This window comes from Homo sapiens, chromosome 20, assembly GCF_000001405.40.
Source record: "Homo sapiens chromosome 20, GRCh38.p14 Primary Assembly".
Taxonomy (NCBI): domain Eukaryota; kingdom Metazoa; phylum Chordata; class Mammalia; order Primates; family Hominidae; genus Homo; species Homo sapiens.
Genome location: NC_000020.11, coordinates 46,540,318 through 46,560,339, shown reverse-complemented (window position 1 = coordinate 46,560,339; position 20,022 = coordinate 46,540,318). Strand labels below are relative to the sequence as shown.

At 47.6% G+C, this 20,022-nt stretch overlaps 2 protein-coding genes across 6 annotated transcripts in view, besides 3 other annotated features; both read left to right on the top strand.

Annotated features, from left to right (window-relative positions):
- The window catches only part of SLC13A3 (solute carrier family 13 member 3), a 126,658-nt gene extending 124,146 nt beyond the window's left edge, over positions 1-2,512 (top strand). For all 5 annotated transcript variants that reach the window (NM_001193340.2, NM_001011554.3, NM_001193342.2 and 2 more), the window contains one exon: positions 142-2,512. In NM_001193340.2, coding sequence (NP_001180269.1) covers positions 142-318 — 177 coding nt within the window. In that variant the 3' untranslated portion in view covers positions 319-2,512. The remainder of the gene's footprint in view (positions 1-141) is intronic.
- Positions 7,027-7,226: an enhancer, noted in NCBI's record as "active region_17976". NCBI's record gives its function as "activates an Ori minimal core promoter by ATAC-STARR-seq in GM12878 lymphoblastoid cells {active_cell/tissue: GM12878}" and the evidence as "EXISTENCE:reporter gene assay evidence [ECO:0000049][PMID:35858748]".
- Positions 9,686-19,394, top strand: OCSTAMP (osteoclast stimulatory transmembrane protein). Its single transcript, NM_080721.3, has 3 exons — positions 9,686-9,823; positions 14,011-15,013; positions 18,413-19,394. Exons 1-3 carry the CDS (start codon positions 9,780-9,782, stop codon positions 19,064-19,066), a joined length of 1,701 nt encoding a protein of 566 aa, NP_542452.1. The 5' UTR covers positions 9,686-9,779; the 3' UTR covers positions 19,067-19,394.
- Positions 14,529-15,380: an enhancer, noted in NCBI's record as "H3K4me1 hESC enhancer chr20:45173599-45174450 (GRCh37/hg19 assembly coordinates)". NCBI's record gives its function as "activates a minimal SCP1, AML or CMV promoter by ChIP-STARR-seq in primed H9 embryonic stem cells {active_cell/tissue: H9 hESC(primed)}" and the evidence as "EXISTENCE:reporter gene assay evidence [ECO:0000049][PMID:30033119]".
- Positions 15,253-15,322: an enhancer, noted in NCBI's record as "active region_17975". NCBI's record gives its function as "activates an Ori minimal core promoter by ATAC-STARR-seq in GM12878 lymphoblastoid cells {active_cell/tissue: GM12878}" and the evidence as "EXISTENCE:reporter gene assay evidence [ECO:0000049][PMID:35858748]".
- Positions 19,395-20,022: the final 628 nt, after the last annotated feature.

The window sequence follows — 20,022 nt, the reverse complement described above, 5'->3', positions numbered from 1 at the left end:
CGACCTGGGTCTGTGTCCTGGCTCCATCACTTCCTGGCTGTGCGATCTTGGGTGAGTGACTTCCTGTCTCTGAGTCTGAATGTTTCCATCTGTATGGTGGGTCAGGTGCTGACCCCTCCCTCTGTCTGGGCTCTATTTCAGGTGCGGACAGGCCTCCTGATGAACCTGATGGGTGTCCTGCTGCTCAGTTTGGCTATGAATACCTGGGCACAGACCATCTTCCAGCTGGGCACCTTCCCGGACTGGGCTGATATGTACTCGGTCAATGTCACAGCATTGCCACCCACCTTGGCCAATGACACATTTCGGACCCTCTGAGTCCCCCTGGAGGACTCCCTTGAGGCTGAACCCTCTCAAAGGGCTGTCACCATCACCTGCTGCTAGGACACTACAAAACAATCAAATAATTCTTTTCTGTAATCCAATATGCAGCAAGCAAGGGTGACCTCCAGTGGCCCACTCAAGTCCATGAGCCATTATCTAGGATACTTTCTCTCTCTTTCATGCAGTTCAAAGCCCAGGTATCTCTCAGATCTGCTGCCTGAGAAATAAGCTCCTTTATCAGTTAGCTGTTTTATCATTAGGATACAAGACAGCCCAGTGTCATCAACAGTGAGCAAATCTGGCATGGTGTTTGTCTCGTACAGTTGGGATAGGAGGCCATTCATTCCCATGGGCACAGCTAACATTATCCCCCAGTGATTACTTTCGATTACACTGAAGAGACCACCTTGTCTTTAAAGATCACTTTCCTGGGCTGCAATGTTCCAACCCAGTTGTTCCAGCTGTTCACAACCAGTGTGTGATTTTGCTTAGTTGGTGCCCATTCTGCACCAGTTGTTTTACCCCTGCCGATAACCAGCAGTCAGAGATTCTTTTTTAATCCTTGGAGACAGGGAAAGGGACAGATAGCTTTCCAAGGACATGAGACTGTGCAAAGCCTCTTTGCTGTTTCTCTGGGCTCCTGAGCATACCAGGGGAAGTTCTAGAAACCGCAGCTGACATCTCGACCCAAGAGATTTAGGATTCTCCTGTTTCATCTGGGTCAGTTTGGCCATAATTCTGGGGTCAGGCCAGGCCTGGGTCCTGCCCTCCCATGGGGTGACTCATGACCCCTCCAGCCAGGACTCTCCTACATGTGGCCCCCATAGGCCTCTGTGGCTGCAAGGCGGTCAGTTGCTGCTTGTCCCAGCAGGTGGCCTTGATCTCTCCATGCCCCACCTTAAGTGGTAAGCATGTTTAATTATCAAAGGCCCCATTTGTCAGGGGTGAGAGAAAAGTCAAAAGATAAATTGGGGCCTTGTAAAAGGCCAGGGTAAAATGTCTCAGGCAAGCAAAAGATTGTCCCCTTCTGCATATGGGTAAAACTGAGACGTCCCCGTGAGCCCGAGGCTGGAAGTGGTGTCTGCCTTCAAGGGTTAATCCCTCTTTGTTCCAAGCAGAAGCATTCTGGCATCCCAGTGAAGAGCTCAGGCCCTCAGGAAGTGTCTGCTGAATGGAATGGCCCAGCATTAGCCCAGTATTGGAAAAGACACCAGCCCAGGGGCCCTGACTCGTCACACTTCCCTTTCCTAAGCCTCTGAGGGTGGAGATTCCCCTAGGAGCGCTTGGCCAGCTGGGAAGGCAGCGCCCAGCTGCACTTGTTGTTGATACAGCATAAGTGAATCATGGGCATTTCCCTGAGAGCAGTGGGAGAGGCCCTCTGAGTTGGAAGTTGAGCTCCACCTCCTTTCCAAGTGAGCACTCAGTGTTGAATCACAGTTACAACCCACTGGGGCTGGTGGGAGATGCGTTGTATGGGACTGGAAGCAAGAGGTTCATTCAAAGAGAAACTCATGGGATTTGTAACCAGATGAATCATGATTTCTAAGACTTCTGATCAAAAATACTGTGAAATAAAGAATGTTAATCAACTTTGGACCTGGAGATGATTTGCCTTTCTGAACATAAGAGAGCTTCAAAGCCCCAAATTCCTGGGCTGGGGATTCCACAGAGTTGACCTCTCTGATTTTCTACTGCTCTTCCCTCCCCTCTCCAGCTACATACTCTGCCTCAGGGCCTTCGCATGTGCTGTTCCCTCTGCCTAGAACACTCTCTCCCAAGTATATGTCTGGTTCCCCGACTCACTTTATTCAAGTCCCTGCTCAGGTGTCACCTTCCCTGAGAGGCTTCCCTGACCTCCTGTCTAAAATGTCACCCTCATTACTCTCCACCCCCTTACTCTGCTATAATTTCTCCTTAATAGGACACTGTATAACTTATTTTCTTATTATCTTCTTCTCCCTCTAGAATATAAATTTATGAAAATACAAATGTTATTTTTTTTACTGCTGTAACTCCAGTTCCTAGAACAATTTCCAGCACATAGCAAGTGTTCAGTAAATATTTGCTGCTTGAATCTGCTCCAGAATTAACAAGAAAGCCATCTCTTCCTCTGATCTGGGGTCTGTTTTGTTCATTACTTTGTTCACTCCTTCTTCCATTTATTCATTCAATAAACATTTATTGGGAACCTGTCATGTTCTGGTTCATTGTCCCGCCCACATGGAACTTACAAGCTGGCAGGGGAGACAGGCAATAGAAACATAAACAAGTCATGTGTCATGATGCCGGCTAAGAAGAAAATGACCAAGATGTTAAACTGACTCAGAGGCTACTTTAGCCAGGGTGGACGGAGAGGACTTCTCTGAGCAGGTGGCACTAGATTGAGACCTGAAGGAGTCAGCCAGATGCTCATGGCAATGTGGGAGGAAGGGAGAAGGTGGGAGCGATGGGGAGTCTCTGGGGAGAACATTCCAGGCAAGGGGACTGCAAGTGCAGAGTTTCAGATGAGCAGATTGCTTCACTTAGTTGGGTGCTCTGAGCTGGAACTTTGTGGCATTTGGAAATCTAGAGTCTGCCTCTTCTGGCTGGTTACCAGGTGTCTCTGCAGCTTTCCTGAGAAGGCATTCTAGCTTGCTCTGACCGGATGTTACTCAGTCCTTGAAGCCTGAAGGGCTTTGCCATTCTTAGTGAAAAAGATCTGCAGGCAGAAGGCGGCAGCACCATTACGGTACGCTCATGGCAGCATAGGAACAAGGAGATGGCAGGGCTGGTACAGAGTCATTGGAATACACCAAGGGCTCATGTCCAGAAGATATGAGAAGCACCCCAACTCAGAAAAGACAAGACAAACAAAACCAAACCAAACCTTGTTTTTGTTACCTGTGGCCACATAACAAGCCATCCTCAAACTTAGAACTTTGAAACAGCAATTTCTCGGCTCACGTTTCTGCATTTGGACAGAGCTCTGCAGGGATGGCATTGTCTCTGCCCCGTGAGCTGGGAGTTTTGCTAGGGCTGGAAGGTCTGCAATGGCCGCTGACACTTCAGGGTCTCTCTTCACGTAGCTTCTCCAGGAGTCTATCCTTGACCTCTTTACATGATAGTGGCCTTCAAGAGCAACAAAAACCGAAGCTAAAAGGCCTCTAAGGGCAGGATGTGGAAGTCTAAGAACGTCAATTCTGCCAAATTCTATTGGTCAAAGTAGCCCACAGGACTGGCCTGGTTCAAGGGGAAGGAAATAGACTCCAGCCCTTGATGGTAGGGGCGGCATCCACCAGGGACAGTGGGCTGCCGTGTTTGGAAGCCATTTACCATAGCCCCCAAGAAAAAAGTGGACAAAAGGTACGAAATGTCATCCTGAAAAGAGATATCTACATGGCCAACAGGATTATGAAGAGATACCCAAACCTATGTGTTTATAATTTGCAGGGAAATGCAAATTAAAATAAATTCAACAACATGCCAATCAGACTGGGAAAAATAAGAAAAGTGGACAATAAGTCCTGGTAGGATATAAGGAAACAGAAATCCTGTCAGCCCGGCCAGCATCTTGGCAGTAATTAGGGGTATTCATTATCTGTATTTCCTATGACCCAGAAAACTACCTCATGGGTCCTAAGGAGACAGTGTCAAAGGATATTTGTGCCACGGTTGTTTGAGGCCACCTAGGTGATCATCACCGGGAGAGTATTGAAATAAAATATAAAGGAAATCCACCAAGGAAAACACAGGAACACACAGAAGTGATGAACTACAGGTACACATAGTGACAGATTACACACAGACATATTCCAATATGAGTGCCAAACAGATATAGAGTCAAGTAGGTGGAGAAATAGAGGTGGTGATGGTATCGTAAAAAGGAGAAGAAATAAAAATCACTAAACAAGGAGTTCAATAAGCCTCATTGGAATCCTGGCTCCATCTCTAACATGCTGTGTGACCTTGAGCAGATCTCTTTACTATTTTTTTTTTTGAGACTGGATCTTGCTCTGTAGCCCAGGCTGGAGTGTGGGGTGCAATTATAGCTCACCGTAACCTTGAACTCCTGGGCTCAAGTGATCCTCCCACCTTAGCCTACTGAGTAAAAAGGACTACAGGTGTGCACCACCATACCTGGCTTATTTTCTAATTTTTTTTGCGCAGACAGGGTCTTGCTATGTTGCCTAGGCTGGTCTCAAACTCCTGGCCTCAAGCAGTCCTCCTGCTTTTGCCTCCCAAAGCACAGGGATTATAGGCACGAGCCACTGCACCTGGCCTACTATTTTGGATTTCGATTTTTTCATCTGAGAAATGAGAGCACGTAGGTGGGGTCTCAAGAGGAAATAGAAAGTATACAAACTAGCTAATTTGTAGAGAGTTTAGTAAAAGGTCAAGTTACAAGGTCAGCAGAGAGTAGGGGGACCACAGGAAAATTGTGGGACCCCAGTGCTGAGAAATCAGGGAGTGAAGAGTAGAGGAGCACCTCCCAGCCCAAGGCCTCAAGGGAGCAAGCTTCCTGATGGGATCTGGGTCCAGGGATGCAGCTGGCTCTTGGTGACTGCAGGAAGGAGGGGGCTCTTCCTCTCCTCTATCCCTCAGCTCTCCTTCTGGGGAGTCAGGGCTCCCTAGAGAAACCAACAAACAGGGTGTGTGTGTGTGTGTGTGTGTGTGTGTGTGTGTGTGTGTGTGTGTGTGTGTCTTATCAAGACAGAAGGAGAAAGATTTCTTTTAGGAATTGGCTCACACCATTGTGGAGGCTTAGCAAGTCCAAAATCTGATGGGGAGACCAGGAGGCTGGAGAGCCAAGAAAGTGCTGCAGTTGGAACCTGAAGGCTATCTGCTGCAGAGCGTCCTCTTGCTCAGGAAGGGTCAGTCTGTTGCAATATTCAGGCCTCCCACTGATGGATGAGACCCATTCACATTCTGAAGGGTGATCCACCCTACTCAAAACCCACTTATTCAAATGTTAATCTCATCTCAAAACATACTCACGGAAACATCAAGAGTGATGCATAGCTAAATCCCTGGGCACCATGGCTCAGCCAAGTTGACACATGAAATTTTATGTGTTGCACCAACACCAGCCAGAATGCAAGGAGGGCTTTGATGCAGCCTGTCCAGGTCCACCTCCCGGGTGCAGGGCAGGGAGGAGGAGCATGGGGAGGGGTCTGGAGAAACAAGCTTTGAGAAGAGTAAGGCACAAAGGGTTGACACATCAGAGCTTGCAATCTGGTGCCAGCCCTCAGCCAGGTTTTGTTTGTCCTCTCCCCAATGAGTTTGGTTTTTTAAGTTTAGTTTTTTTGAGACAGGGTCTCGCTTTGTGGCCCAGGCTGGAGTGCACTGGCCTGGTGTGATCTCAGCTCACTGCAACCTCCATGTCCCAGGCTCAGGTGATCCTCCCACCTCAGCCTCTGGAGTAGCTGGAAGTGCACAACATCACTATCATGCCCACCTAATTTTTCTATTTTTAGTAGAGTCGGGGTTTTTCCATTTGCCCAGGCTGATCTTAGACTCCTGAGCCTCAAGTGATCCACCTGCCTCGGCCTCCCAAAGTGCTGATATTACAAGCGTGAGCCACTGTGCCAGACCCCTGATGAATTTTAAATTATTATTTGCTAGTCATTAAAATTCAGGAGATTTCACATAAAAATCTGGATTTCTGCTTCTCTTGGAAAGGAAAATACCAGATCTAGCAATATGAGACCCTCTTTGGCATCTGGCAACAATTGTTTGGAGCTGAGTAGTATGTGGAGGAAATCATAAGTTGGAACGTAAACATTAATTAGCCTCAGTCCCCACCACTCTTTAATGACTTACACTGGCTCTCCTCTGTCAACTCTGTCACTTTCCTGGCTTGTGAAAGCATTTGAATCTATGACCCTTGAATTGCATGATCTGGGAGGTCCATTTCAGCATTAGCGGTCACGGGTTCTAATGGCCTAGAGCAGCACTACCCACTGACCTTTCTGTAATGATGGAAATGGTCTATAGCTGCCCTGTGTGACACAGTAGCCACTTGCTATGTGTGGCTACTGAACATTTGTAATGTGGCTAGTTCAAATTGAGATTTGTTATAAGTAGAAAATTGTAATATGAGAAAATAAATGTAAAACATCCTGTCAATTTTTTATATTATTTACATGTTAAAAGGATATTTGTGATATGTTACATTGACTAAAATATTTTATTAAAATTGATTTCTGTTTTTAAAAATTCGATTTTTTAAATTTAAAAAATGTTATATATCAACTTGACTGGGCCATAGTGCCCAGATATTTGGTCAAGCATTATTCTGGATATTTCTGTGAGGGTGTTTTTAGATGAGACTAACATTTGAATCAGTGGACTTTGAGTAGGGTTACCAGAAAAGTTTAAATTATGCATACGGTTCGAGTTGGTGGCTCACATACTGTTGCTATTGGATAGCACCAGCAATATAGGAAGATTTTGGCTGCTTCTCTGTATTCTCAAACTATCTGGACAGTGGCAACGTTGAAGAAGGCTAAAGAATTCAGTGACTCTAATTATTCTGTGCAGCTGGGCACAGTAGCTCACGCCTGTAATCCCAGCGCTTTGGGAGGCTGAGGTGGGCAGATTACTTGAGCCTAGGAGTTTGAGACCATCCTGGGCAACAAGGCAAAAGTCCATCTCTACTGAAAATAATACTCTATGGGTCTCTGATTCTGATCCCAGACCAGGCTCTCCAGGAAGATCTGAAGGCTTACCTCTTCCTCTTCCTCTTCTGTCTTATGGCTCTGAATCCTCCACCCACAAATTCCCCTCAACAAAGCTGATTCTATTTTTGATGATTCAGAAGCCCCTTCCGGATGTTGTGGGCCTTGAGGTCAGGCCAGCCTTATATAGACAGAGGTAACTGCCTACATGTACCGAGAAAAGCCAAAAATATATTTTGCCTGTTCACTCCCTATGCCCCCATGCTCCCAAATCTTACATATCCACCAGAGGCCTTCCGGAAACAAACTGCCTGGTCCTTATCCAACCAGCTCCCTAGTGCCTGTGCAGAAACTGGGCAAATGCTGGTGGCTGGCTTCTAGGACTCTTTCTGTCTGACCAGCACAATGCCCTGAAGTTTGCTATGTGATGGGATCCAGGCCAGGGTGGCCTGGTGAGCATCAGAAGTCTCAACAATCAGATGTGAGCAGACAGGGGCTCACTTGGCAGAACTGTCATCCCAGGTAGGAGGAAACAGGGCATGAGCATTTACCTATTGTTTACTGAACACTCTATATGCATTATCTCATTGAATCCTCAAACAGTCCTTAAAGTAGGTACTGTATTACCCTCATTATAGCAGAGGATGCACAACTTCAGAGAGGGACAGTGTCTTGCCCAAGGTCACACAGCACAGTAAGTGGTAAAGCTGGCATTTGAGTTCAGGTCTGCTGCCTCCAGTCCAGGGCCCCTGCAGTTTGGGGGGAATAGCTAGACATCTCCTTGCAGCCAGACAGCTAACAGCAGGCCTGACTAAGGCCTCCTGCGGAAGGTGAAAATTGATGCTCCTCATGCTGGCTTTGGCCCATAGACCTGTTAAGATTGGTCTGCATGGTAGTCTTTCATTTAAAAAAAAAAAAGCTGACATTTACATTAAAAAGAGAATGACTGGCGTCTTTAGAAAAGCTGGAAAATCTGGTCATGGTGGGCCTCGTTTTCAAGGGGCTTTGACCCTCAACTGGAGATGAATAACAGCTGACCAGACAGGAGGGAGTGGGGGGGGCTACACTTTGTAGCTCACTGCTATTTGCATTCATCCTGCTTTGTTCATGAGCTAAGCAGCGTGGCCCCTGTGGGTACACAAGTTTGCTGCTGCTAGTCTGCCTCATGTACTTAGTTCTTTGCAGACCTGGTAGCTGGCCTAACATCCTGCAGGGGTGCACTGTCTGGGAAGTGTGTTAGGCCCTCTGAGGGTTCTGGCCACAGGTATTCCATTCAATCGCTGTGTAACTATAAGAACGTCACTTCCCCTATCCAGGCCGCAGGACATTCCCCTTCAGGCCTGAGAGTGACCCAGGCAACATGTCCTTATAAGGGAAAGTGGCTGTGCCCCTACTGGTCCATCCCACAGAGGGGGAGCCTGGGGGGCTCAGGGGAGGCCTGCTGGGAGTGATGGGGTACAGAGATGCTGGAGAGGTGTCTGCATTCCAGGTAGGAACTGGCTTTCAGGACAGCCTGAAAGCAGACCTGCAGGGCACTAACTGCAGAGGGTGTGCGTGGGGAATTTACATTATTGAGTACCTACTATTTGCAGTACCAGCTGTACTATGAAGTAATCACGAGGTCTGTGAATTATCCCCTCCACAGCAGCAGAGCCCAGTGGCTAACTGGTATACCCTGAAGCCAGCCCGCTGGTTAGAAATCACGGCAGTACCATTAATAGCTGAGTGGCGTGGTTGGCGACGTAGCTCTCTGAGTCTCAGTTTTCTGAGCTGAAGAATGAAAATAACATCTTTACCATAAAGGGATGTTCAAAGTAAGTGTTCAGTGAATTTGAAGAGAAATTGTTTAGAAGAATGCCTGATACATAGTAAGTGCTCAATAAATGTTAACTGTTATTTTCATTAACTATTTTTTTTTGAGACGGAGTCTCGCTCTGTGCCCAGGCTGGAGTGCAGTGACGTGATCTCAGCTCACTGCAACCTTGTCTCCTAGGTTCAAGTGATTCTCCTGCCTCAGCCTCCCGAGTATCTGGAACTACAGGTATGCACCACCACAAACCAGATAATTTTTGTATTTTTAGTAGAGACAGGGTTTCACCATGTTGGTCAGGCTGATCTCAAACTCCTGACCTCAGGTGATCCACCCCCCTCAGCCTCCCAGAGTGCTGGGATTACAGATGTGAGCCACTGTGCCCAGCCTCATTAAACTTTTTTTAAGGGGAGAAAACCAGCAGAGAGATATGAGGTCACCTGCCCAAGGTCTCATAGCTAGGGAGGGACAGAGCTGAGATTTGAAGCGAGGTACAAGTCAGGCTAAAGACAGGAAGGGGGCTGGGGAAGGAGACCAGAGCCACTGCTCCCAGTACTTGGCAGGGGTCTGATTATCACCTGTGAGTCCCAAGAGCAGGGATCAGGCTCCCCTTGGGGCACACAACTATGGAGTGGGAGGGAAAGGGAAGCTGTATGGTTTCTCTGTGCCTCAGTTTCCTTCTCTGTAAAATGGGGCTAATTCTACCTTCCTGCTACCAAGATTAGAGACATCGCTTGGAAAAGGCTGTCTTTTCCTCTTCCCACACCTTCCACCCGCTCTTGCTTGTGGGCAGAGGATGAGGCAGCTTGCCCAACCCTCTGGGAGGTGGGCCCCGAAAAGGGCGGGACAAGGCAGCCAGGAGAGCTTCATTAAAGAGTGGAAAAGCAGAAGTGGCAGGGATTCCCAAGTCCCAGCGATTCCCCCACTTCCTCTCCACCTGCCACAGCTGCCAGCGACCGCCCGCCTGAAACCACTGCCATTTGGACAGCATGCCAGGCCACCCAGGAGCAGCTGAGCAACTTGTCAAGACCGGGTAGGTCTGGGGACTTTGGACACTGAGGGCTACAGGTGAGAAAACAGTCAGCCATTGGGGGTGATGGATATGAACCCAAATCTTCAGCTCTGCCATTCCTTGGCTATGTGACCTTAGGCAAATCCTCAGTTCTCTGTGAGCCTCAGTTCCCCATCTGTGAAATGGAAGTAATAATGACATCTACAAGACTGTTGCCAGAATTGAATGAGAAAACACATGCTTAGTACTTGGCACCTGCTTGGCTCAGAGGAAGCACTCACTAAACAGCAGCTAGTTTCCTTGCCATTTTCAATACCCCGTGCAGGAATTGTCATCCAATATGACTTAGGACTGGCTTTCAATCCTTAAAATTGTTTTTATTATTAGCTATTATTCCAAAAGCTACTGTGTTCCAAATATTAATTATATAGTAGAAGGGGGTGTTTAGTCCCAAATTCAAATGCCTTCGGGAGCTGGGAAGGGGTTGCACCTGTGGAAGGCCACCTGGGTGTGCAGACGGACCCGTTCATTGATCAGCAGGATGCAGTCTGCAGGGCTGCTCCCCTGTCAAAGGTGGGTAGTGGATACTCAGCTCCAGCTACCTGTTGCAAAGGTGGGAGCTCTAACCCAGATCTTCTTATCTCTCAAGAAAAGCTGGAAACCCAGATTTTAATGTGAAACTTCCTTATTTCCAAATGGGGGCAGCTTACACACACACACACACACACAGAGTGGGCCACAATAAGGCACATTTGCATATGATTCAGCCTTTAGGGCTTCAAGGTTGTGACCTTCACTCCAGCCCCACAGGCCTCACTGCATCTCAGCTTCCCACTGTTCTGGTTCTCCCAACTCCCTATTTCCCGATGGTCAGAGCACAGGACCTTTGCACACGCTGTTCCTTCTGTCAGGGATGTCCAACTCCCTTCTTCACCCACAAACTGACACTTGTCCTTCCACCCCCAGCTGGAATGTCACCTCTTCCAGGGAGCCTTCCTGACTCCCAGGTAAAACTGGGTCACTCTCCATCTATCCCACCCCAGTCCAGGCCCAGGCATACTATGCTCAGAATTCTTTGTTAATGAACTTAAACTCTAATGGTCTATTTAAGTCTCCTCAATTAGACTGTGAACTCCTTTAGTGGGACCAGGACTTAATTCATCTTTGTGTCCACAGGGGTCAGCACAGAGCCTGGGCACAGAGGAGACTCGAGTGAAACATTTACATCGTTGACATAAGTATCATCAGAGTAACAAGTGGTGCAGTTTTATAGGATCCCTCTTCTGTGCCAGACCCTGTGTAAACTTCTTTACATGGATTATTTCATTTTATTGTCCCAGAAGCCCTGTGACAAAGGTTTCTGTATTAGTCAGGACTCATTGAGTTGCAAGTGACAGATTGATCTTACACTGCCTGTAGAAAAACAGACATCTCCTAGTGTGTGGTCCGGCATAGATTTCGGCTTCAGGCATTTCTGGATCCAGGTCCTCCAACAAGGCCACTGGGACTCTCTGTCTGTTTCCTAACACTGTTTTCCTTGTGTTGCCTTCATCCCAGGCCGACTCATACTACATGGTGGTCCCCAAGGCTTGAGGCATCTTCCTACCAGCTTAGCTCTCAAGGCAACAAAGGGCAGTTTTTTTGTCGTTGCAGCAAAATCCTGAGGAAAGCTCTATTGGTCCATCTCCGGTCAGGTGCAATCCCTGCACCAGTCACGGTGGCCAGGGGATCAGAGGTACTTGGATCAACTAGACCCAGTCACATGCTTATCCTTCAAGCTGTTGATGGTGGAGCAAGTCAGCAGCTTTGCCTGTAACCAACACAGTGACAGCCTCCCCACCACCCTCCCTGCCCTTTATAACCATATTCCCGTATAACCTTTCTGCCTGCTCTCACTTAAGATAATGTATGATCTCCAACCTCAAGTGGGCCTCAGTGTTGCCCAGCACATATGTTATTGCCCCAGTTCGTTTGTTCTCCCACTTTCCTGGGCAACCATTTTGTACTTTCTTCTTCCTCTTCAAGCATCCATCACCTCCGCCAGCATCTTACCTTCTCTGCTGACCTTGCTTCCTGCCAACCTGAGCAAACAGAAGCAATCGGTCATGCTACTCTTAATGAATAGTTTTGGAGCACTCACAACATGGCAGACACTATTGTAGGCACTTGGGACATATCAGTGACCAAAACGGACAAAGTCCCTGCTCCGGTGGAGTTGACTCTAGTGGTAGGTAATAGCTGATGTGATACTTACCATGTGCCAGAAACAAAGTGACCCCAGGAGGTGCATACTTTTATTGCACCATTTTACAGATGAGACAGCTGAGACACAGAAAGGTTGTGATATGTACCCAAGTTCACATAGCTGGCAAGTGGTGGAGCAGAAATTTGAGCCCAGGCAGTCCAGAGGTCATGCCCTTAACATTACTCTGCTCTGCGTATATCAGAGGATACTTTTCACAGGTGCATACACGCTGCCTGTTCATTCGCCATCATCTGTACCTATTTCCTCTGCTTTCCCACCTGCTATTAAGGATGAACGACCCCTGCTCTATTCTAAGACCAGCCCCACCTTGCATGTTCTCAGTCTCACTCTCTGCCTCCACCCCTACAGGTGTCACTCCAGGGAGTCTCCCCTTTGTCAATGTCTCCCCTCTCGATGAGATCTCCCACCTGCAAACATGCTATAGATTTCCTCCCTTTACATGAATTCTCTTGGTCCAATTTCCCATAGCTACCAGCCACTGCTTCATCTCCCTGCTGTTTTAGTGTAGAAATTACCGGAAAGAGTTGTCTGTATCTGTGTTTCCTATTCTTCTCCTTCCCGTCTCTCCTGGACCCAGTCTAGTTGGATTTTGGCCCCAAAAGCCACCGAACTCTCCCTGCCAAGGTCAACAGTGACCTCTAAGCGGCTAATAGGCATTGCTCAGTCCTCATCATTCTTGACCTGTTGGCTGCATTTGACGTACTTGATCACTCCTTTCTCCTTGAAACATTTTGTTTATTTGGCTTCCTAAGCACCACATTGGTTTCTCAGTCTCTTTTGCTGGTTCCTCCTTATCTAAGAGCCCCTAACCTTGGAGCGCCTTGAGGCATGTCCTTGGATGTCTTTCCTCCCCAGTGACACACTCTCTTGAGGAATCTCATGGTGCACATGGCTTTAGGTAGGGATATAAAGTTGGGAGACATCTAATAATCAGACTCCCAATGTTATAACTCCAGCCTGACCTCCCCTCTGAATTCCTGACTTCTATTTCCAACCACGTCGTCAAAAGCTCCACGGAATGGCTCAACTGAATCTCAAATTTAAGAGTTCTGAACTGAATTCCTCCTCTCTCCCCCTCCACTCAAACCTGTTTTGACCACAGAGTTCTCATCTCAGGAAATGACACCTTGGTGCTTCCAGTTGCTCAGACACAAAAGCACCTCGTCATCCTTGACTCCCCTCTTTCTCTCACACCCCACAACCAATCAGCCTCTGCAAATCTTGTTGACTCTGCCAACAAAATGTGTTCAGAATCCAAGCTTTCCTTACTACTCCTCTGCCATCGCTCTTAACATAGTGCAAGCCCCACGAAGGTAGGGACTTCTGTTTTTTTCATTCCTGTTTCTCCAATGGTTAACACAAAGTCGTTGCTTGATAAACACTTGTTGAATGAATAAATATAAGGATGATAGAATATAAAAGTCCCTCACAGGCCAACTAGTTCACCCTCCTCACCCCTAAATTATAGAGGAGACCCTGAAGTTCAGAAAGAATAGAAGGTCCAGAATCATACAGCAAGCCACCAAGACTATTAATTCAAGTGAAATCGTTTCTCTTCTTCTCTCTCCTCTTACTCATTCTCTCTCTTTCACCTGTGCTTCTCGCTCCATGACTCTTTCATTCTCTTGGGCCAGTTGCCTTCACAAAACTGTAATAATGGACTCAAACAGGGCAGACTTTCATCCTCACATCCTCAGGTACTGCATGGGAATTGGGCTCTTCCCTGACAGTTCCAGCGAGAGTAATCCTGGGGAAGGCTCTGATTGGTTCAGCTTGTGTCACGTGGGTATACAGTGACTTACTCTGATTGGTCCACCTGGGTAACTACAAGGGTGGAGTCTGTTAGCAGAGCCTGGTGATGGGTATGTGGGGCAGGGGCAGTGGACAGACACCCACCCACCCACCTCCTGATAGAGATGCCCTTCAATTTCCTTGTGTGCAGGTGGAGGTCCTGGCACTTGGGGTTCTGGAAGGCCCTTGCCCCACTGCAGGCTGCCTGGGACGCCTTCTCCCAGCCTGTTCCAGCCAGCTGTGGCCAGCTGCTGACCCAGCTCCTCCTGTGTGCCTCCCTGGCTGCTGCTGCTGCAGGTCTGGTTTATCACTGGCTGGCATCCTTGCTGCTTTATCCTCCTGGACCTTCAGCCATGGTTGCCACTGTCTGTGGCCTCCTGGTCTTCCTGAGCCTGGGCCTGGTACCCCCAGTCCGCTGCCTGTTTGCACTCAGCGTGCCCACCCTGGGTATGGAGCAGGGCCGCCGGCTGCTCCTGTCCTACAGCACTGCCACCCTGGCCATTGCTGTGGTGCCCAACGTCCTGGCCAACGTGGGTGCGGCCGGGCAGGTGCTGAGGTGTGTCACCGAGGGCTCCCTGGAGAGTCTCCTCAATACCACTCACCAGCTGCATGCAGCATCCAGGGCTCTGGGCCCCACAGGCCAGGCAGGCAGCCGGGGCCTGACATTTGAGGCCCAGGACAATGGCTCTGCCTTCTACCTTCACATGCTCAGGGTCACTCAGCAGGTCCTGGAGGATTTCTCTGGCCTGGAGTCCCTGGCCCGGGCAGCAGCGCTAGGGACCCAGCGAGTGGTCACAGGGCTGTTTATGTTGGGCCTCCTGGTGGAGTCGGCATGGTACCTCCATTGCTACCTGACAGACCTGCGGTTTGACAATATCTACGCCACTCAACAGCTGACCCAGCGGTTGGCACAGGCCCAGGCTACACACCTCCTGGCCCCTCCACCCACCTGGCTGCTCCAGGCGGCTCAGCTGAGGCTGTCACAGGAGGAGCTGTTGAGTTGTCTTCTAAGGCTGGGGCTGCTTGCCCTGCTCCTCGTGGCCACGGCTGTGGCGGTGGCCACAGACCATGTAGCCTTCCTCCTGGCACAGGCTACTGTGGACTGGGCTCAGAAGTTGCCAACTGTGCCCATCACGCTCACGGTCAAGTATGATGTAAGTGTGATGATGGGAAAAGGGAAGGGAGTCATTGTTTTGAGGGCAGGGGGAGAATCTGTTAAACCCTTGACTTGTGATGAAATTTGACTTGCCTCCAAGAAACAGCCCTTGAATCATCCATGGGGCCCCATACCATGGGCAGAGGGACTCATCGGATACCCACAACAGCTCTAGGAAGTGGTTTCTATTTTCACTTCCTATTGCAGTTGAGGATGCTGAAACCCAGACACCTTAAAATAACTTGCATCCAAGGTCACCCTTCACAAGTGGCAGCTTGTCCTAGCCTCATTTTCCACATTTGTACAAATTGAATCGATCCTCCTAATCCTAAAAGGCTATTGTGTCTTACAATGTGGTATTGTCTTAAAGTACCTAGTAAGCTCCATGGCACATAAGAGATTATTTAATAAAGAGTGGCTATTATTAATAGCTTACATCTGTCTATGTCAGACTGGAGGAGGACTTTGGAATGGCCTTGATCAGGAGGCATCCAACTATAGCCTTCAGGACAAATCCAATGGCTTCTTGGTTTTGTAAATAAAGCTTTTTTAGAACACAGCCATGCCATTTGTCAATATATTGTCTGTGGCTGCCCTACAAAGGCAAAGTTGAGTAATTGCAACAGAGACTGTATGTCCTGCAAAGCCTGAAATATTTGCTATTTTAATAGTGATATAGAAAATATTTACTATCGACTTATAATCGGATATATTACTATCAGATCAAGAGTTGTGTTTTTCGATCCTTTCTTTTGCCACGGATCTTTTTATTTTTAATTTTTAGTAGTGAGGTCTCACACAAAAGTCCATTGCATAAAACATATCAAAGTGTCAAACTTCGAGCTAATAATATTAACAGTTTATATTTATCAAGTACTTATTACATATTAAGAAAGTGCTTTTCAGACTGCACAAAATCAATTTAATCAATTTAAGGAGTCATAAATAGTGTTTTTAATGAAATAGAATCAACTGGAAAATTATAAGATTACATCTTAGGCAATAAGGGAGTGTATGGTTTTTGAATATTTTCTTCAATTACAAAACAATCTCTGCTTTGAAGGTACTGTAAAATGCATTTCTTTTCTTTCCTTTTTTGAGACAGGGTTTCACTCTGTTGCCCATGCCAGAATGCAGTGGTGCAGTGGTGCAATCACAGCTCACTGTAACCTTGACCTCCTGGCTCAAACGAGCCTCCCACTTCACCTACCTCTGCCTTCCAAGTAGCTGAGACTACAGGCATGCACCACCACCACCCAGTTAATTTTTAATATTTTTTTTAGAGATGGTGTCCCACTATGTGGCTCAGGCTGGTCTCAGACTCCTGGGCTCAAGCATTCCTCTCACCTCAGCCTCCCAAAGTGTTGGGATTACAGGCATAAGCCACCATGCCTGGCCTGTAAAATGCATTTCTTACCATAGGTCACAGTAAAGAAATGTGTCAGGCAATGTTCTAAGCATGTTCCCTGATTTACTCATTTTCACCAAATCTCAGATAGTCATCAATTGCAAGTCACACCATTACTTTATGTATCCTTAGGGCAGAAAATGCTACCAATTCAACCTTGACACAATGCTTTCTTATCATTTAGAATTTTTATTGTATTTGTATAAAATAGTTCACTTATTATTTAACATAGGTTTATTTTGCCATATCTTTCTCGCGTATACATAAAAAGAAAAATAGGGGGCTGGGCATGGAGGCTCATGCCTATCTATAATCCCAGCACTTTGGGAGGCCGAGGTGGGTGGATCACCTGAGGTCAGGAGTTCAAGACCAGCCTGGCCAACAACATGGTGAAACCCCATCTCTACTGAAAATACAAAAATTAGCCAGGCATGGTGGTGTGTGCCTGTAATCCCAGCTACTCAGGAGGCTGAGGTGAGATAATCGCTTGAACCTGGGAGGCAAAGTTTGCAGTGAATTGAGATTGCTCCACTGCACTCCAACCTGAGCCAGCAAGACTCCAAAAAAAAAAAAAGGAAGAAACGAAGAAAGAAAGAAAGAAAGAAAGAAAGGAAAGAGAAAGAGAGAAAGAAAGAGAAAGAGAGAAAGAAAAGAAAGAAGGAAAGAAAGAAAGAAAGAAAGAAAAAGAAAGGAAGGAAGGAAGAAAGAAAAAAGGAAGGAATGAGAGAGAGAGGGAGGGACGAAGGAAGGAAGGGAGGAAGGAAGGAAGGGAGGGAGGGGAAGTAATCTGATGGTTTTCCTAAAACATTCAATCTGACTTTTCTGAATGACTCTGGCCGAGGAGTCAGTCTCTGAGGCTTTTCCTCCAATATCATTCTCTGTGCCTTCCAGAGCCCCGGTGATGCCCCACCATTGTTTCCAGCATTTTCTTGCAAGCTGCGGGCCCTCACTCAGCAAGTTTTGAGGCTGGCACTCTCTGATCCTCTGGGAAAGCATAAATTGTACAGGCCCACTCATTGCTTTCACATTATTTCATCTTTTCTGAAAGCTTTGGGAGTTTCTCCTGCATTCATTTGAACCATTTGGGGTGTGGCAAGCTATCCTTCTGCACCTGGGTTAGTGCAGAATCCAACCCAGGTTGGTTCCAAAGTTCAAATGGTGAACTTCTTTCTTCCCTGCCTCTCTAGATACCATTCTTCCTCACCTGGACATACCTATGGAAACTGCAGGGCCCAGTGCTTATAAGCAGGACATAGGGACCCACCTTGGCTGAGACTGATCCCTGAGTTGGCAACATGTAACCCATGTGTGGCTTTGGGCTTCCCATCTTTTTTTTTTTTTTGAGACAGAGTCTTGCTGTGTTGCCCAGTCTGGAGTGCAGTGGTGTAATCTCACTGCACCCTCCCCTCTCGGGCTCAAGCTATTCTCCTGCCTCAGCCTCCTGAGAAGCTGGGATTACAGGCACGTGCCAACACACCCAGCTAATTTTTTGTATTTTTAGTAGAGACGGGATTTCACCGTGTTAGCCAAGCTGGTCTCGAACTCCTGACTTCAAGTGATCCACCCGCCTCGGCCTCCCAGAATGCTGGGATTACAGGCGTGAGCCACTGCGCCTGGCCACTTCCCATCTTTTAAATTAGGCTCCTCCTGGGCTCGACCCATAGAATTGTGTATATTGGATGGAATAGGACATCTAAAGTATTCAGTAAGGACTCAGCAAGGAGCAAACATCCATAGACAATTTGTTTTCTCTAAAATATTCTGCTCAAAGATACTAACCTTAGTAACATTTGTATGGTGATTTTTATTTGGCAAAAGAACCTGTTTCAGACTCCTAGTCTCATTGGGTCCTCCTCAAACCCTGGGAAACGGGTTATTTCTGTAACCATTTTGCAGATGAAGGCAGGGAAAGCTGGACAAGCCTCTCCTAGAGGTGGGGAGTGGCCAGAGAGGCCCTCAGTTGACCCTGCCTTTTTCTCCTTTCCCAAGGTGGCATACACTGTCCTGGGCTTCATCCCTTTCCTCTTCAACCAGCTGGCTCCGGAGAGCCCCTTCCTCTCCGTCCACAGCTCCTACCAATGGGAGCTCCGCCTCACCTCCGCCCGCTGCCCACTGCTACCCGCCCGGCGTCCCCGCGCAGCTGCCCCGCTGGCCGCGGGGGCCCTGCAGCTCCTGGCGGGCTCCACGGTGCTCCTGGAGGCCTACGCCCGCCGCCTGCGGCATGCCATCGCCGCTTCCTTCTTCACAGCCCAGGAGGCGAGGAGGGTCCGCCACCTGCACGCCCGGCTCCAGCGAAGACACGACAGGCACCAAGGCCAGCAGCTGCCCCTAGGGGATCCTTCTTGCGTCCCCACACCCAGACCTGCCTGCAAGCCTCCGGCATGGATAGACTACAGGCTGGATGCCTTAAGAACCGAGAGCAGTGAGGGAGAAGGGAAAGAGCTTTGGAGTTGCAGAGACCTGAGTTGTAACCTTGGTCCTGTGCCGCCTCCCTGTGTGACCTTGGGTAAGTCACTTCACCTCTCTGAGCCTCGGTTTCTACATCTGCATAACGACAGCATATTTACCATTGATGTGACCTACTTCCCACGCAGGGATGTGGTCAGGATGGAAGGAAATACTGGGCATGATAGGCCTGGATAACCGGTAAAGAACCATGCAAAGGCGAAGACAAGGAGTGCAGAGAGAGCTCATGGTTCCTCCAGGCTGGTTGGCGATCAGGCTCATCTCATCTGCACCAACTGCTCTACTTGTTAGATGGAGACCTTGCATCATGAATTTCTCGAAATGCTCCTGGAACTTATTTATATGCCTCAAAATCCTCTAAACTCATTTATAGTAACCCATAGTTTTAATTTTATAAATAAACGTATTTATTAAATCTTAGATTACGTTATTCCTCTGCCTCAAATTCCTTCAGGGCCTTTCCATTGCCAGGATTAGATTTTGCCAAATTAAAATATAGGACACTCAGTTCAACTTGAATTTCAGATAAACAACAAATACTTGTTTAATTAAAAACTTAAATGAAATTTAGCAGAGTATAACTGAGCAAAGAACATAGTCCCTGGAGGCAGAATAGGTTCAGAGCAACTCTGGGGGGTGCAACATCGTCAGATAATATTTATGGACAGAAAAAGGAAAGAGATGTACAGAAAACACACGTGAGGTACAGAAACAGCTGGATTGGTTACAGCTTGGCATTTGCCTTATTTGCACACAGTTTGAACAGTTGGCTACCTTTGGTTGAAACACAGTGATTGGTACAAGAGTAGGTTACACTCTGTTTACACATCCAGGAAGGTTGTAGTTCACTATGTATGGAGAAACCTTTAGGACAAACTTAAAATATGTAAGGAGGCAGCCTTAAGCTAAAATTAATTTAACAATGGCATTATTATCGTCCTTCTTCTAGAGGAGAAGAAACAGATTCAGAGAGGTTAAGTATTTTGCCCAAAGTCACTCAGCCAATAAGCCGCAGAGCCAGGATTTAAACCCAAGTAGTCTAGCTGCCATGGTTTATGAACTTAACTGGTCTCTCAAATAAAAGTAAAATCCCCTTTGACAACCACACTCAAGTCAGTTTGCCTTCTTTGGCT

Coding starts and splice junctions, on each gene's coding strand:
- OCSTAMP (NM_080721.3), top strand. CDS start 9,780: ATGCCAGGCCACCCAGGAGCAGCTGAGCAACTTGTCAAGACCGG. Junction 9,824..14,010: donor GAGCAACTTGTCAAGACCGG/GTAGGTCTGGGG, acceptor CCTTGTGTGCAG/GTGGAGGTCCTGGCACTTGG. Junction 15,014..18,412: donor CGCTCACGGTCAAGTATGAT/GTAAGTGTGATG, acceptor TCCTTTCCCAAG/GTGGCATACACTGTCCTGGG.